The sequence below is a fragment of the Homo sapiens genome, chromosome 11, assembly GCF_000001405.40.
Source record: "Homo sapiens chromosome 11, GRCh38.p14 Primary Assembly".
In the NCBI taxonomy this organism is placed as follows: Eukaryota; Metazoa; Chordata; class Mammalia; order Primates; family Hominidae; genus Homo; species Homo sapiens.
Window position 1 is genome coordinate 5,839,626 of NC_000011.10, and position 18,619 is coordinate 5,858,244.

The 18,619-nt window shown below is 34.8% G+C and overlaps 2 protein-coding genes across 2 annotated transcripts; both read right to left on the minus strand.

Annotated features, from left to right (window-relative positions):
• Nucleotides 1–1,302: 1,302 nt before the first annotated feature.
• OR52E6 (olfactory receptor family 52 subfamily E member 6) lies at nucleotides 1,303–2,272 on the minus strand. The gene has a single exon (NM_001005167.2). The coding sequence runs from the start codon at nucleotides 2,270–2,272 to the stop codon at nucleotides 1,331–1,333; it is 942 nt and encodes a 313-aa protein (NP_001005167.1). The 3' UTR covers nucleotides 1,303–1,330.
• Nucleotides 2,273–17,123: 14,851 nt separating this feature from the next.
• Nucleotides 17,124–18,065, minus strand: OR52E8 (olfactory receptor family 52 subfamily E member 8). The gene has a single exon (NM_001005168.3). It carries the CDS (start codon nucleotides 18,063–18,065, stop codon nucleotides 17,124–17,126), a length of 942 nt encoding a protein of 313 aa, NP_001005168.2.
• Nucleotides 18,066–18,619: the final 554 nt, after the last annotated feature.

The following is an 18,619-nucleotide window of genomic DNA, read 5'->3' on the forward strand; positions in this document are numbered from 1 at the left end:
ACACCAATTTTTCTAATATAATCATTACACATTGTATCCTTGTGTCAAAATTTCACAATACCCCATATATATGTACAACTAGTATGTGTCCACAAACTATTAAATAAATATGCTGAACAAATTTTATGCATAAAAAGTTGACACACATTAGACATGTTATGAAATGATAGAATTCAAAGTACCAATTATAACAGAGAAAAAATACATAAGAGTCAAGAATATTTCTCCATCTCAAAATATAACTTCAAAATAATTGCAACAATGGTCACTGAAATTAAAAATATAATTGGTATATCAAAATTTGTAGAGACTTTAATGCAACTCTTATAAAAACAAGCTGTTTGAGAACGCAAAAGTAAGTAAAAGTAAAGAGAATGTGCATTTAAAAAATAATTGGAGAATGTATATTGCTTTTAAATACATCTGAATTATTGTTAAATGTCCATTTTTTAAAGTCACATACACACACATGCACACACACACACACGTGCCCCAAATTATAAGCCTATATATCACTTGAAATTCAAAATAAAATCTAACCCCACTAACTTATTTATCTGCGGATTAAATACATAATAGAAAATAATCAATGGCTTAAAATGAATGCCCAAACAGAAATTAGGTTACATTTTAATTTGAACAAAAACAAAGCTCAACATAGAAAAATGACTGGTGTTCATTCAAATCAGTACTGAGGAGGAAATGTCAGTTACTAACTTATTTTTCTCCTAATTACATTAGAAAGGTCATAATACAAGAAAATCTCCACTATCCCACAAATAAACCATGTGTACCACACCCTACCTGATTCATAAGTCTGTCCTTTGATTTATCACTCTGCATTAATATATGTTATGTGCCTTTCTCTCTCAAACTGGATAAGGAGACTTTCTGGAAGAACAGAGCATCAGGAGAAAAAGTCTTGCCTATCAATAGAAAGTGCTGGTTCAAACAATTAATACAGGCAAGGATTCAATCCATACTGGTCAATTTAATTGCCTTCTACCAGTTCCTCTCTATGAACATATGAACATAAACACATATACACACCACATTTTCTAAAAGATTACAACTATTTATCCAGAAACAAAAAGACAAAGCAAACCCAGCAAAAACATGAAAACAAACAAATGGATATATTTTGTGGTTGGGACATTTCACTGAAGGTGACTGTGAAATAATATTTATCTACCAATACACTCATAATTATTTTAAATTTTATTCAGGGTATCTCACTTTCTCTGTACCCAAATTCCTTGGTGTCTCTTCTCTCCTCCCTAGTGGCTGCTTCATCATGAATGCTAAGAGAGACCCTCCAAACTCCAACTGGTTAGTGATCTGTCTTGAAGAAAATCCTCAGCACTGTCTCCCTAATATGTTTGGTTCTGACCCCATAGATTACAGGATTGAGGGTGGGAGGAACAACCACATATAGATTAGCCAAGAAAATGTGGATATATTGGGGAATATCATGGCCAAAGCAGTGTGTAAAGAAAGAGAAAAATGCTGGTGTAGAAAAGGCTAAGATAACACCAATGTGAGAGCCACAGGTGTTGAGAGCTTTGAGTCGAGCTTCCCAGGAGGGCAGGCAGAAGACAGCATAGAGGATCCTGATATGGGAGAGAATAATAAGGAGCACATCCAATAACAAGAGAGAAATACTGCCAAGACCAAACATAATGTTGACTTTGATGCTGGCACAGGCCAGACGGGCAATGCCCATGTGCTCACAGTAAGTATGAGGGATGATACGATGTCCACAGAAGGGCAACCTTAAGAGGAGAAACACCAGTGGAATGACCATGTACAAGCTCCTCAGGACAGCAATGCCTGCAATGAGGCTGATGATTTTGCTGGTGAGGATCATGGTGTACCAAAGAGGTTTGCAAATGGCAATGTAGCGGTCAAAGGCCATGGCCACCAATACGATGCTCTCCATGACAGTGAAGAAATGGATGAAGAACATCTGAGAAAGGTAGCCTCCAAAAGATATTTCCTTGATATTGAACCAGAAGATGCCCAGCATTTTGGGAATGGTGGCCGTAGACAAGCTCAGGTCAATGGAATCCAACATGGCCAGGCAGTAGTACATGGGCTCATGGAGACTCTGCTCAGTTTGGATCACAAAGAAGATAGCAGCATTTCCCAGGAGTGCAATAAGATACACAGAGAAAAAAGGGAATCCAATCCAGATGTGCACATCTTCTAGCCCTGGGATACCCAGCAGTAGGAATGAAGAAGTATGGAACTGGGTGTCGTTAGCTATAGGCATTCTTTCTGTCACAAAAAGCTGTTGTGTGTATCAGTGACAATTATTGACTTTCCATTAGTGATTCTTGCTCCACTTCTCACTTTATCCTGATTCCTGGTAAAATAAAAAATAGCATTGTACTCTTCTTGGTTCCTTTCTGAAAAAGAGTAAAATACCTCTTACTCTGCTAGGGTCATATGAGCATGAAACAGAATCAATAATTAAATCAGCTTCACCTGATTGCCACTTTTCCTACCAGAATTTATTACACATGAGGAATAAAGTGGGGAGAAACCTCTATCTGCCTGACAGAAATTTATAATGAAGAGTCTATGCAGAAACTAATTTTAAAAATAAGATTTCAGAACCTATGAATCTGATCGTTTTACACTCATTTTTCTTAACTTTCAGGCTGATTTTTATCTGTAATCTCTGTTAATCCCTTACTAGAGATCCTGCTAACAATAAAGTTTATATTTGTGCACTGAGTGTGTGTTTGTGTGTATCTATGCATTTCTACATGAATTGTAGAGTACTAGTGGGTTTACTTTTAGAGCAGAGAGAAAAAGCCTATATTTACACATACATGTAATATTTATTATTTATTTCTTTTTTTATTATTATGCTTTAAATTTTTGGATACATGTACAGAATGTGCAGGTTTGTTACACAGGTATCCACGTGCCATGATGGTTTGCTGCACCCATCAGCCCGTCATCTACATTAGGTTGTTCTCCTAATGCTATCCCACCCTTAGCCCCCAAACCCCCGACAGGCCCCAGTGTGTGTTGTTCCCCTCCCTGTGTCCATGTATTCTTATTGTTCAACCCCTACTTATGAGTAAGAACATTCATTGTTTGGTTTTCTGTTCTTGTGATAGTTTGCTGAGAATGATGGTTTCCAGCTTCATCCATGTCCCTGCAAAGGACATGAACTCATCCTTTTTTATAAGTGCATAGTATTCCATGGTATATATGTGCCACATTTTCTTTATCCACTCTATTATTCACAGGCATTTGGGTTGGTTTCAAGTCTTTGAAAAGCGTATATTTTTTATATACCACTTAAGAGTTCTCAATTTTAAATGTTAATCAAGTTAATAAATTGAAAACCAGACAGCAAAAAATTTTAATGTGATGTTTCAGAAAATAAACAACTCCTTGATCATCACAATTTCTTTTGCAAAAAGAATACTGTATCCATCATTTTTGGAAATTGGGTAAAGAAAATTAAAGGAAGATAATTAATGAAAAGTATTTTGCACTTAAAGCTAAATATGGAATAAAAGATTAATTTAGATAAATACACCATATATAGAACCCATAAAAAAACACATACATTGAAGAAACTCTAGAGAGTGGGTTTTTTCTTCTAGAGAATTTTAAATATTATCTCAGACTTACATGGACAGGGAGAAGAATTTTATTTTACAATATATTTCCTACCAATGCTGTTCTCCATCTGGTATGTTAGTGTCTTTATGGAACTTTGCTTTTCACGGCACAGAAATAAAAACATTTATATGATTTTGTTTTGTAACACTCTTTCTGTCTATGGAAAGATTCCGGGCTCATTTATAATAAATTAAATGTTTCAAAAATCAATGTGAGAGATGTTTATTATTGAGCAAATTCTTTTCTAAAACTAGTTGTACAGATAATGTGGAGTGATTGTGAATTACACAATTGACCAGAACACTTTGATTCAAATTTGGGAATACGTGGAGGCTTGAAGAAGTCAGAGTCGAGAGGTCTCCATTAGAAGCAAATAAGATCAGTACGCTCTACTTTAAACCTGTAACAAGGCAAGTGTCTAAAAAAAACCTACCATTTGAAGCTAATGATGGCTAGCAGAAATGGGAGAAAATTGGGGAAATTACCTCAAGAAGGAGAATATATACATGGTTATTGAGGCTGTTGAGAATAGCTTTAAAGTTCTCAGATCTGTAATAGGAAAGTCAAAGATAAAGACACAATTCTTTCTTTCCCCATTAGTGAATAATACATGAGGGATGTAGAAGGGTACACTTCACAATTTATTCCATCAAATATCTAAGAGGTCCTATATTTGCCAGCCAGCATTCATTTGAATAATACCTGTCAAACACTCTCAAAAAGACCACAGTGCAGACAGAGACACAATTCCAAAGAAGAAATTTGAAAGCTGCATTGCAAGTACTATGATAAAAACACCCATCAAATGTTGTAGGTGTAGAGATGGGGCAATGAAAATTCCAGGGAAGAAGTTGGGCTTTGGCTGTGACTTAAAGAGAAAATCCTTAATATATATATTTTATATATAATATATATTTATATATATATTTTTATATATAATATATATTATATATTATATATATTATATATTATATATATTATATTATATTATATATATTTATATATATATTATATATAATATATATTTTATATATTTTTATATAATATATATTTATATATTATATATTTTATTATCTATTTTTTTTTATATATATATAATTTTCTATGGAGGAAAATACAAGGACAAAGTGAGGAAAAGAAACATATTGTCCAGCCAGGACAAAATCCTGGAATCTTGGTCCTCTGCATTGCTTTTTACAGTGACACAGTAAAATGTCCACTGAACTCTGTGTATGCACTTCTATGTCCTAAGAAATATCTGGTATCTTAGTCACTCTTGGTACAACAGAAATTTGTAAAGATAAAATAAGGCTATATATTATGAAAATCAATTTATCACATGTATTTTGTGGATTTTCCCAAATGAGTTTTATAACTGGGACTTTTATTTGAGAAAACATCATTTCCAAGTCTACAAACATTTCTCAAAACATCTAGTCTCTTAGTCTATGACTGTACGCTGACCTATTATTCCAACACACATTTGTACAGTCTCCAATCTGTGTTGGGTTCAGAAATAAAACTAGGTCCCAGCACCTTTGTTTGACCTTCTAAAACTAAGGTTTTCATAGAATTATATCTGGTAGACATTTTCTGAAACCTTACTTATTTTTACTGCACCTTAATCCAATAACCCTCACAAAGTCTTCATACACACCTCATTTCATGTCCCATGTCAGATGAGGGTAAGCAGAAGAGAAAATATGCATGTTTTAATTTTATAACTGCTTAATCTCCCAGTCTTATGCCCGTCACTCCCGCATCAAACCTCATTTCCTTTATCAGCTTCTTTGTCACCTTAACTTTGGATTATCTTTTTGAAAGACTCTATTCCTCAGGCCCATGCTTCACAATTCATTTCTTCAAAAATGTAATTATTAAAGACATATTTACTGATTACCTTTACTGTACCTATTACTATCCTATAAAACCAGGAAAAAAAATCTTGCCCTCTTACTATCACATTTGAGCTCCCGTACATAAGGTTCAGAAACAAGAGCTATAGGATATATCGCTACATTACCTTCCTCATCAGCTTTGAAGTCTTGTTGGTTTCATGTGTGAAATTTTGCAGGATCACAGGTATATGTGAATGTGCAAAAGCATGTGTAGTCTTGAGAGGTCATGAGTATGATTGTGCTTTCTCTGTCCATACTCTGTCCTCTATCTCTCCTTATAAGTTTGACATAAGCCTTTCCTCATCTCTTCTCTTGCATTTTGCAGCTGAATGTTGATATGACTTATCTTGATCTCTAAATCTCTAAGAAGCATTATTTTGAACACCATTTGGCTTCTGCATGAGTGCACAATTTAACATGCTGAAGAGAAGGCATTTATGTTTTCACTAAAACTTTGATTCCTTTGGGATAGGAACTGCTGTATCTATGACACATTGGCATGGTTTACTTAAAAGGCACTGCAAATTTGTTTTGTTTTGCAGTCCCTTTCCCCCTTCACAGACTAGAGAAAAAAAATTCTTCATTGGTTCAAATAATTCACATTTTTTACCAACAAGAATTTGTATGATTTCTTCTTTTTAAACTTAATTTCAATCCCCTGGTGAATGCCTGATTTATTGGCTCAGATCCAATCCTGTACTCTTCATTACTTTATAAATCAATCCTCTCTTTTTCTCACTCTCTCTTCTCAATCTCTCTCTCTCTATCTCTCTCCTCTCACTTGCTCTCTTTCTCTCTTCTCCCTCTGTACTTGCCTCTCACTTCCACTCTCATGTATCTTGAAGCATTAATCTACAATCTTTTTCTGTAATCCATATAAAAAGTGCAAGTTTACAATGCAAACCACCTCCTGATAAATGTACTTCATGGAATAAAACTTTACTAATACATTCGTCCCTTTTCCTTCTGTATTCATAGTATTTGATAAAAACTTCTTACCAAGGTTGGTTGCCCTGGAATTACTCCTCAAACCCATCTCTTGCCACTCACTCCTTTCTTCCCTCCACTCCAGGCATGTACTTTGTGCCATTTCTCAATTCTAAGCTCACTTTTATCCCAGGGATTTTGCCTTTCCTACTCATAAGACCTGGAATATTGTTCTCTGATATCTTCCAAAGTTTTGTTCCCTTACTTCATTTATCCCTCCTCAAATATCTAGGACTCAAACAAGAATTTTCTGGCCAATGAATTTAAAAGGGTCATTCTTCCAACTCTATTTTCTTAGCTTGCTTTACCTTGGTTCCTAACATTTATACCTACTTGAAATTATATTGTATTCATTGGTTTTTCTCTCATTTTGTAAGTATATTCATCTCATGAAGGCAGAGACTATGCCTGTTTTTCATGGTTATATTCCAAGTCATTAGGGTAGTGTCTGTAATGTAGTGGCTGCATAATTAATACTTCCCTACTAAATAAATAATAAATCCAAAAGGAGAAGCCTAAACTCATTGGAACACACTCTTACTAGGTGCTGTCCCCTCAGTGCCTTAATGGCCCTCTTTTGTCATAGTACAATGTAAACAGATGCTTTCAAGACACTTTTTTCATTCTCTCTCATGACTTCTCTTGCAGATCACCGTATCAATCCTTCACTCCTTCAAAACATGGTGTCCTTAACAGATTTCTGTGAAAGACAAGTCTTTTATGTATTCACATAACTCACTGGTGACAGTACAAGTACACATTCCATGTTCAGATAGTGTTGGTTCCTAAAGCTTGCCTAGGAAACTACAGCTGCATGTAAAAGAAAGAGGAAGCTCATAAATGCATACATTTGGAAATAAGAAATGCTGAAAATAAGTCATCCAATGTTGACTTTAACTGATCAGAATGAAATGGTAAATAAAATACAAAGATAAGAAAATAGTAAAATAGTTAATAAAATAATGTGGTAGAAAGAAACATAAAATAAAAAGTCTCAAAAAGGTACAGCATTGATTTTCAAAAAAATTAAAATTTCACAAGGCTTAGCAATATCCATTTTGAAAAAAAATAAAGTGATTTCAAAATACAAATTATAACCTTAATTTTTTTTATTATACTTTAAGTTTTAGGGTACATGTGCACAACATGCCGGTTTGTTACATATGTATACATGTGCCATGTTGGTGTGCTGCACCCATTAACTCGTCATTTAACATTAGGTATATCTCCTAATGCTATCCCTCCCCCTTCCCCCCACCCCACAACAGGCCCCGGTGTGTGATGTTCCCCTTCCTGTGTCCATGTGGTCTCATTGTTCAATTCCCACCTATGAGTGAGAACATGCGGTGACCTTGATGTTATGAATAATTTTATTTAAACAAATTTGCTACTTGACATCAATTTTTAAATTCCTAGGAAAACACTTTTACCAACAAACTATAAGAATAAGTATAAAATCTGCACAGTGCCTATGTTTCTAAGATGCCACAGCAAATATCATACTTTGAAAAGATTTTAAAATATATTCCCCATGGATGAGAGATAAAATAGACATATCAATTATTACCACTTTTATTTCTAGTTGTATTGGTGGTCTTAGTCCTTTTAAAAAGCACAATAATAAATACATCAAAAAGTAAGAGATATGAAACAACAAGGGCTGCAGTTGTCTCATGGCTCCACTGTAGACATGCACTTCCAAGTCAGTCACACAGCCACTGAAAGGCCTCAGACCCATCTGGTTGTTGGCTTGTGGTATATAGGTTTTTTTTTTTTTTTTTTTTTTGGCTTATGGGTATCTCCAGGAAGCAGCTAACAGTTAGTTCTTCTCAGAGTAAGAGCCTGAGAGAGCTAATAAAAACACACTCAATTCACTTTTCTCTAATGACCAGTGATGATGAAAAGAAAATGTAGCACATATATACCACAGAATACTATGCAGCCATAAAAAAAGAATGAGTTCATGTCCTTTGCAGGGACATGGATGAAGCTGGAAACCATCATTCTCAGGAAACTAACACAGGGAAAACCAAAGACCGCATGTTCTCATTCATAAGTGGGAGTTGAACAATGAGAACACATGGACACAGAGAAGGTAACATCACATACCGGGGCCTGTCTTAGGGAGGCCTCCCCTCCTGGGAGGGAGAACATTAGGACAAATACCTAATGCATGCAAGTCTTAAAACCTAGATGACGGGTTAATAGGTGCAGCAAACCACCATGGCACATGTATACCTATGTAACAAACTTGCACGTTCTGCACATGTATCCCAGAACTTAAAGTAAAATTAAAAAAAAAAAAAGAAGGAACTCAAAAGACGTAGTCTTGTGAAAATCTAAATCAAGACGTGGCATCTCATCACCTCTCCCTATTCACATTGCTAGAAAGAAATACCTAATTAAACCCACCCCCAAGGGGAGGGGATGACACAAGGACATCCATATCAGGAGGTAAGAATCAGTGGGTGCCATTTTAGTGGCTGTTTATCAAAGGCCCAAAGTGGGAACAACTGTAATGTTGGTGGAACAGAGAAAGAAACTGTGGTGCATTCACATGACAGAATAACATACAGCAGTGAAAATAAGGAAGCCACTGCTACATATAATGAAGACATACAAAAATGTGTTTAAATTTTTAAAGGCCAGATATAAATGTGACAATTCAGTAATGTTTCCATTTATATAAAATTAAAACCAGGTAAAACTATTTGATAGTGATGAAAAATTTAAATAGTGGTTATTTACTTGGCAGGTAGAGACTGCAAATAAAATACACATAAATCAGTAGATGCATGGTGCAAGTTCGAGTTCATTGGCCTGAGAGCAAGGAGAGTCAGTGGTGTAAGTTCCAGTCCAAGTCTGAGCTTAAAAGCAGAAGACTGATGGCGCAGCTCAAAGACAGTTTGGCTGAAAACATTCTTTAATATTCAACATCATACTCTATTCAAGCCTGCAATGGATTGGATGAGGCCCAACCACAGTAGGTAAGGCAATCAGCTTTACTCAGTCTACATTTCAAATGTTAATGTCATCCAAAATATCCTCACCAACACACCCAGTTATTAATATCTGAGCCTGCTATAGCTCAGTCAACTTGACACATAAAATTAAACATTAAAATATATTCTGTTTCTAAATTTTGATTGTGATATCATAGATTTTATCACCCTGTGGAAATTTATTGAACTGAATATTTGTGTTTTGAATGTTTTCTGTACTTACTATGCTTTTACATGAAGTTATGCCTTATAAGACTATATCCTCTCTTTCCTGTCTCTATTTTATCTCTAAATAAATTTTGTCTAACAGTATGAAACAAACTTGGCCACTCACAGGACACTGATAATCATATAAGGAAGTGGGTGCAGGTAAAATTTAACTTTACAAATGAGAAGTCTCATTGTTACTTCCTGTATCATTAATTCCACCTAGCATCATTCTGGGAATAACTGAGCATTCTGTACATCCTAATGTGAGACAATAAAAAGTTCAGAGTGCTGCATATGAAGTGGTCTCAACAAAATGTGCTTAATTCATATATAATAAAATAATATATAGTAGAATAGAATAAAGTAAAATAGACTAGAGAACAGAATAGAAAAAGTGATGTGGTTCCTTCCACAATTTCACCCAGACACACAAAGAGACATGCACATACAGGGACACATACAGCAGAGATTAATGGTTATATTGCAAAAATTTATATTTTTGGATAAGTATACTTAGTATTATGGTGCATTGTTTTGACATCTGTAATTTATCTTAAAATATTCTAATAAGTTGTGTTTTTGCATATGTGTGAACATGTAAGAAAATATTTACAGTTATTGACTGGCTATGTGTGTGTTCTCTGTTCTATGTATGACAAATTTTTATGAATAGTTTTTAAATTACAAACACTGTTAAATATATTTACTTTGTAAAACATACAGGGCAAATTGAAAAATGTAAAAAAGGTGTTACACCAGTACACTTGTTACAAAACAACAGAATTCGAAGAATTCTTAGGGAAGGATAGATGAGAATCAAGAATATTACCCACCTTGAAATATAACTTCAAAATAATTGTAACAACAGGTAATTGAAATAAAAATGTAATTGATATATCAAAATTTATATAGAGAGATTTTAACTCAACACTTCTAGAAATAAACTAAGTACACAAAAGTAAGTAAAATAAAGAGAATGTACATTTAAAAACTAATTGGAAAATGCATGTTACCTTTTAACACATCTAGAATATTGTTAAATGACCATTTCTTAAAGCCACACAAAAAGAGACAGCTACACATACCAAATGATAAATATAAATAACATTTGAAATCAACAATAAAATCCAACCCCACTAACTTATTTATCTGTAAGTTAAATGCACAGTTGAAAATAACTGATGACTTAAAATAAGCAATGAAAAAGAAATTAGAATACATTTTTGTGTAAATTTAGGGAGTAAAAATGCAGTTTTGATACATAGATATATTACATGGTGAAATCTGGGCTTTTAGTGTAACTATCACCCAAATAGTGCACATTGTACCCATTAAGTAATTTCTCATTCCTTACCCCCCTTCCACTCTCCTATCCTTTCAAGTCTCCAATGTCTATTATTCCACACTCTATGCCATGTGTAGACATTATTTATGTCCCACTTACAAATGAGAATATGCAGCATTTGACTTGCTGTTTCTGAGTTAGTCCCTTAAAATAAGGACCTCTAGTTTCATCTGTGTTGCTACAAAAGATGTGATATCATTCTTTTTGTGGCTGCATAGTATTCCATGGTTTACATATACATACCACTTTTTCTTTATTCAATCATCCAATGATGGACACTTAGGTCAATTCCATATCTGTGCTGTTGTACACAGTGCTGAGTTAAAAATACAAGTGCAAATATCTTTTAAATGTAAGAAATTCTTTTCCTTTGGGTATATACCCAGTATTGGGATTGCTGAGTCAAATAGTAGTTCTATTTTCAGTTTTTGAGAAATCTCCATACAGTTTTCCATAGAGGTTGTGCTAATTTACATTCCCACCAACATTGCGCAAGTGTTATCTTTTCTCTGCATGCTTGCCAACATCAGTTATTTTTTGGCTTTTTAAATACTAACTACTCTGACTGGTGTGGCATGGTATCTCATTGTGGTTTTAATTTGCATTTCTCTGATGTTAAACATTTTTTATATGCTTGTTGGCTATTTGTATGTCTTCTTTTAAAAAATATCTGTCATGTTCTTTGCCCACCTTTTAGTGGTGTTACTTGGTTTTTGGGTTGTTGCTGTTGGATTGTTTGAGTTCCATGTATATCCTGGATATTAGTCCCTTGTCAGATGCATAGTTCACAAATATTTTCTCCCTTTCTTAGGGTTGTCTGTTTGCTCTGTTGATTATTTCTTTTGCTCTGCAGAAGCTTTTTAACTGCAATTAAGTCCCATTTATCTACTTTTGGTTTTACTGCATTTGCTTCTGAGGTCTTAGTTATGAATTCTTCGCTTAGGCCAATGTCCAGAAAAGTTTTCTTAGGTTTTCTTCTAGAATTTTTATAACTTCAGGTCTTAAATTTAAGTATGTAATGTAACTTGAGTAAATTTTTATATACAGTGAGCGATAGTGATCAAATTGCATTCTTCTGTATGTGGCAATCCAGTTTTCCCAGCACCATTTACGAAGAAAGTGTCCTTTCTTCAAGGTATGTTCTTGTCAACTTTGTCAAAGATCATTTGGCTGGAGGTATGTGTCTTTATGCCTGGGTCCTCTGTTCTTTTTCACTAATCTATGTCTTTTTTTATATCAGTATCATGCTGTTTTGGTTACTATAGCTTTGTAGTATAATTTGAAGCCAAGTAATGTGATGCCTGCAACTTTCTTCTTTTCATTTAGGATTGCTTTGTCTATATGAGCTTTTTTTGGTTCCATATGAATATTAGGATTTTCTTTTCTAATTCTGTGAAAAAAAGATGTTGGTACTTTGATTGGAATTGCATTGAATCTGTAGATTGCTTTGGGCAGTGCAGTCATTTTAACAATATTAATTCTTCTAATCTATGAACATAGGATTATTTTTCCATTTGTTTGTGTCATCTGTAACTTACTTCATCAGTGCTTTGTAGTTTTTCTTGTAAGGATCTTTCATCTCCTTGGTTTAATATACTCCTAAGTGTTTGTTAAGCTATTGTAAGTGGAACTGACTTTGTGATTTAGTTCTCAGCTTGAATGTTATTGGTGTATAGGAATGCTACTAATCTTTGCTATCTTTTATTTAAAAAAAAACTTTTATTTTAGATACAGAATGCACATTGTTACCTGGGTATATTGGACCCAGGTAGTAAGCATAGTACTCAATAGGTAGTTTTTCAGCTGATGACCCCCTCCTTCCCTCCTCCCTCTAGTAGTCCTCTGTGTCTGTTGTTCCCATGTTCATGAGCATGTCTGCTCAGTGTTCAGCTCTCACATGTGAGAACATGCAGTATTTGGTTTTCTGTTCCTACATTAATTTCCTTAGGATAATGGCCTCCAGCTCCATCCATGTTGATTTCATTCATATGATTTCATTCTTTTTATGGTTGCTTAGTATTCCGTAGTTTATATGTAACACATTTTCTTTATCCACTCCACCACTGATGGGCACTTAGGTTGATTCTATGTCTTTGCTATTGTGAACAGCACAGTGATGAACATATGAGTGTTTGTGTATTTTTGGTATAATGAGCTATATTCCTTTGGGTATATATCCAGTAGTAGGACCACCAGGTTAAATGGTAGCTCTGTTTGAAGAAAACTATCTCTCTTTGCAGATGATATGATTCTATACATAGAAAACCCTTAAGGTTCTGACAAAAGGGTGCTAGAACTGAGAACCCATTTTATCAGGGTTCCAGGATATAAAATCCATATACAAAAATCAGTAGCATTTCTATATAAAAATAATGTTCAGACTGAGAATCAAATCAAGAACACAATCCCAATTACAATAGCCACAAACAAAATGAAATACCTAGGAATACAGTTAACCAAGGAGGTGGAAGATGTCTACAATAGGAATTACAAAACAGCATGGAAGAAAATCAGAAGCAAAACAAATCAATGAAAAAAGATCCTATGCTCTCATGCTAGATTGGAAAAATGGATTGGAAAAATCAATATCATCAAAATGACCCTACTGCCCAAAGCAATTTATAGATTCAACATTATTCCTATCAAAATACAAATGGCATTTCTCATAGAATTAGAAAACTATTCTAAAATTCATATGGAATCAAAAATGAACCCAAATAGACAAACCAATCTTAAGCAATAAGAACAAAACTGGAGGTGTCACACCACTTCAAACTATACTATGAGGCTACAGTAATCAAAACAGCATGGCACTGGTATAAAGCAGATACAAAGGACAACGGAACAAACTAGAAAACTCAGAAATAAAGCTGCCATGTACAACCACCTGATTTTTGACAGGGCCAACAAAATGAGGAGTGGGGAAAGAATTCCTTATTCAATAAATGGTGCTCAGATACCTAGTTTGTATTTATTTCCATAAGTAGAGGAATAAAACTAGATCCTTACCTTTCACTGTGTGTAAAAATTAACTCAAGATGAATTAAAGATTCATGGTAAGACCTCAAACCATAAAAGTTCTAGACAAAAAGCTAGAAAATACTCTTCTCAACATTGGCCTTGGCAAAGAATTTTTGGGTAAGTCCCAAAAAGCTATTGCAACAAAAATAAAAATTGACAAGTGGGACCTAATTAAAATAAAAAATTTCTGCACAGCAAAAGAAACTATCAACAGAGCAAACAGACAACCTAAGGAAAGGGAGAAAATCTCTGAAAACTAAGCATCTGATGAAAGTCTAGTATCCAGATTCCACAGGAAATTTAAACAAATCAATAAGTAACAAATAATCCCATTAAAAAATGGGCAGAGGACATAAACAGACACTTCGCAAAAGAAGGCATAAAAGAGACAAACAAACATATGAAAAATGCTCAGCATCACCAATCATCAGAGAAAACAAATCAAAACCACAATGAGATACCATCTCATACCAGTCAAAATGGCTATTATTAAAAAATCAAAAACCTGGAGAGGCTTCAGAGAAAACGGAATGCTTATACACTGTTGGTGAGAATGTAAATTATTTCAGGCACTGTGGAAAGATTTCCCAAGGAGCTCCTGGTTTTTGAACATTCATTTTCTATCCTGAAACCTTACTGAATTTATTTATCAAATCTAAGAGTATTTTGGAGGAGTCATTAAAATTTTCTAAACATAACATTATATTATTAGCAAACAGAGAATTTGACTTCCTCTTTTCCAATTTTGATGCCTTTTATTTCTTTCTCTTGCCTGTTTGCTCTGAATAGTGCTTTCAGTAGTGTGTTGAAAGGAAGACTAAAAGTGGGCATCTTGTCTTGTTCTGGTTTGTAGGGAGAATGTTTTCAACTTTTACCCATTCAATATGATATTGGCTGAGTTTGTTATATATGGATCTTACTATTTGGAGAAAGGTTCCTGCAATGCCTATTTTGTTGAAAGTTTTTATCTTGAAGGGACGCTGAATTTTATGTAATATTCTCTACATCTATTGAGATGATCATGTTTTTTGTTTTTAATTCTCCTTATATGGTGAATCACATTTATTGATTTGTGTATCTTGAGCCATCCTTGCGTCCCTGGAATAAAATCTAGAAAAAGTCTTGCCTATCACTATTTAGAAAGTGCTGGTTCAATCAATACATTCAAACTGATATATCCAATTATTCAATCCATACTGGTAAATTAAATTGCCTTCTATCATTTCCTTTCTATGAACATATAAACACAAACACATACACATTTTTAAATGATTAAAACTATTTATCCAGACACAGGAAGACAAAGCAAACCCAGGAAAGATACAGAAACAACAGAAAAATGAATATATATTTTGTTTATCTGGGAGATTTCTCTGAAAGTGATTGTAAAAGAATACGTATCTACCATTTCACTCTTATAATCCTTTTAAATTTCATCCAGAATATCTCACTTTCTCTCTACCCATATTCCTTGGTGCTGCTTCTCTCCTCCCTAGTTGCTCCTACTCCCTCAGTCCTGAGCCCTACCTAAATTTTTCCGGCCCTACCTTGTCTACTGAGATGTCTTTAGAATACACTCAACTGTCTTGCCATGGCCAGAGAATCTTCTCCAAGAAAGAAACCATCAAGTACTTCCACAGCCTTCCATCCTACATTCTACCAGTAAACACCTGCCCAGTTGCAGGGCTGTGACCCTGAGGAGGAAAGATTTATACGACAAGTAGAACCTCGCCTGAAGCCAAGAGAGGGAGATCCTCCATGTCATCACTCTCTGGAATCTCCCATAAGAAAATGGTAGACTCTGGTCCTAAACCCTTAATTTCCACAGAGCGCATTCTGCTCCTATCTGTTCACCCAGTGATTGACCTAAGGGCTGCTTTCTATAGGAGATCATTGAATCACAGCTAAATTTAAGTGTCTTTGCTTTATAGTCTGCACATGCCACTTGTTGTGGTCTACTGCCTAATCCTATATCTTAACTGTATAAATGGCAGGCAGAGCAGCAATAAAGAACTTACATTCAAGGTGTTCTTCCTGCAATTATCTTCCTCCAAGTTTTTTAAGGGATTATAAATTTCATTATGAATGAAACTGCTAATAGCCACACAATTTCCAAATCTCCTGAAGAAAAAAAAAATATGTCTCAACACTACTTTAGAAACAACTTATTATTTCTTTTTTCTCAAAGTATATAAGTACTTAAAGACAATACACTGTGTCTTCGAATGTTCCTACAGCTCATAAACCCACACATGAAACATAGTAGAAGTATGCACACGCACACGCACATATATTCATATATGTAAAAATATATTATGTAAATATTATTTAAATAATTAAACAAGCAAATGAATGAAATATTTACGAATGTATATGTCATGCTCATGCTGCATTATTTCCTTTTTCCTTTAATATCTAATTTTATGACTATGCTTGCATCTCTAGGTGCATGAGGGAAATTATAGTAACTATTGAATAAGATTATGGTGGGCATGATATGAGTATATTCATGTGTGGTATACCTGTCAATACCCATATATCTACACTGCATCTATGGTATGTTAATATTATTACTAGAGTAAGCTATTATTATTATTTTAAGAATTCTAGAAGCCACTTATTCTGTTTATTATCTTTTTAAAGTAAGAATTTTATTCCGTATTCTGTTATTTCTTAAACATACTAAAGAAAACTATAAGGCAGTCTATTTGGCTTAAATTACTACTTCCTATTAAACATGTAGTTTGAGTAAATCACTCAACTTTTCCGAACATAAGTATATTAATCACAAGAATGGAAAAACTAATACATACTTTATAAAACTGCCTTGAGGATCCAGCAATAGAAATAAAAGAACTTGGAAAAGGAGAGTTCGACAAGGGTAAAATTCTCATTATTATAATTAAAGTCAAAAGCTTCAGTTAACAGATAAATAATGTTATTGGCTGCAGCATTCCCTTCTGTTTTTCTGCTTTCTATTAGGTTAGAGTGACAGACTCTCCAACCTCCAACTGGTTAGTGATTGGTCTTGAGAAAAATCCTCAGCACTCTCTCTCGAATCTGCTTTGTCCTGACTCCATAGATTACAGGATTGAGGGCTGGTGGGACAACCACATACAGGTTGGCTAATATAATATGTATATACTGTGGGATATTATGGCCAAAACGATGTGTCAAGAATGAAAAAAATGCTGGTGTAAAAAAGGCTAAGATAACACCAATATGAGAACCACAGGTGTTGAGAGCTTTGAGTCGAGCTTCCCAGGAGGGCAGGCAGAAGACAGCATACAGGATCCTGACATAGGAGAGAATAATAAGGATAACATCCAGTAACAAGAGAGATATGTTGCCAAGGCCAAACCTAATGTTGACTTTGATGCTGGCACAGGCCAGACGGGCAATGCCCATGTGCTCACAATAAGTATGAGGGATGATACGATGCCCACAGAAGGGCAGCCTCAGAAGGAGAAACACCAGTGGAACAACCATGTACAGGCTCCTCAGGACAGCAATGCCTGCAATGAGGCTGATGATTTTGCTGGTGAGGATCATGGTGTACCGAAGAGGTTTGCAAATGGCAATGTAGCGGTCAAAGGCCATGGCCACCAACACAATGCTCTCCATAGCAGTGAAGAAATGGATGAAGAACATGTGAGAAAGGCAGCCTCCAAAAGATATTTCTTTGGTATTGAACCAGAAGATGCCCAACATTTTGGGGATGGTGGCTGTAGACAAGCCCAGGTCAATGGAATCCAACATGGCCAGGAAGTAGTACATAGGCTCATGGAGACTCTGCTCAGTCTGGATCACAAACAAGAGAGCAGTGTTTCCCAGGAGTGCAACAAGATACACAAAGAAAAAAGGGACTCCAATCCAAATGTGCACATCTTCTAGCCCTGGGATACCCAGCAGTAGGAATGAAGAAGGATGGAACTGGGTGTGATTAGACGTAGACATTCTTCCTGCCATATAAAGCTGCTGGGCACACCAGCGACGATTATAATATTCCTATTAGTAATTCTTGTTCCACTTCTTCTTTTGTTCAGATTTCTAGTCAAATTCACAATAACATATTAATCTTTCTTTATATATATTCATGAGTAAGGTAAAATACTCTCCACAATTTCTCCTAGCCTCTCCTGAGCAACATTGGTACCAGGAATAGAACCAGTCTTATTCTACTGCCCCTTCACCTAATATCAAAGACTAATATAAAAAGAAATGGCAGAAGAATGTCATCTGCCAAATAAAAATGCAAAATCTGGAATTTAGCCAGAACTAAATGAGAAAAATAAAGTTCCAGGGTCAGTGTCTATAGAAATGTTACACATATTTTTGCTTCACGATCAAGGTATTTGTAATCTCAACTATTCCTCTATTTGGGAATCAAAAATGTAGTGTGTAAAACCGTTTCTGTGTTGTTATGCATTTTTACAGGTATTTGTGACTACTAGACTGTATACTTCTATATACAATTTAGACTATACTGTATACAATTTGGGACTACTAGA

What these genes read in the sequence shown, in the direction of transcription:
- OR52E6 (NM_001005167.2), bottom strand. Translation starts at nt 2,272, where the DNA reads ATGCCTATAGCTAACGACACCCAGTTCCATACTTCTTCATTCCTACTG.
- OR52E8 (NM_001005168.3), bottom strand. Translation starts at nt 18,065, where the DNA reads ATGTCTACGTCTAATCACACCCAGTTCCATCCTTCTTCATTCCTACTG.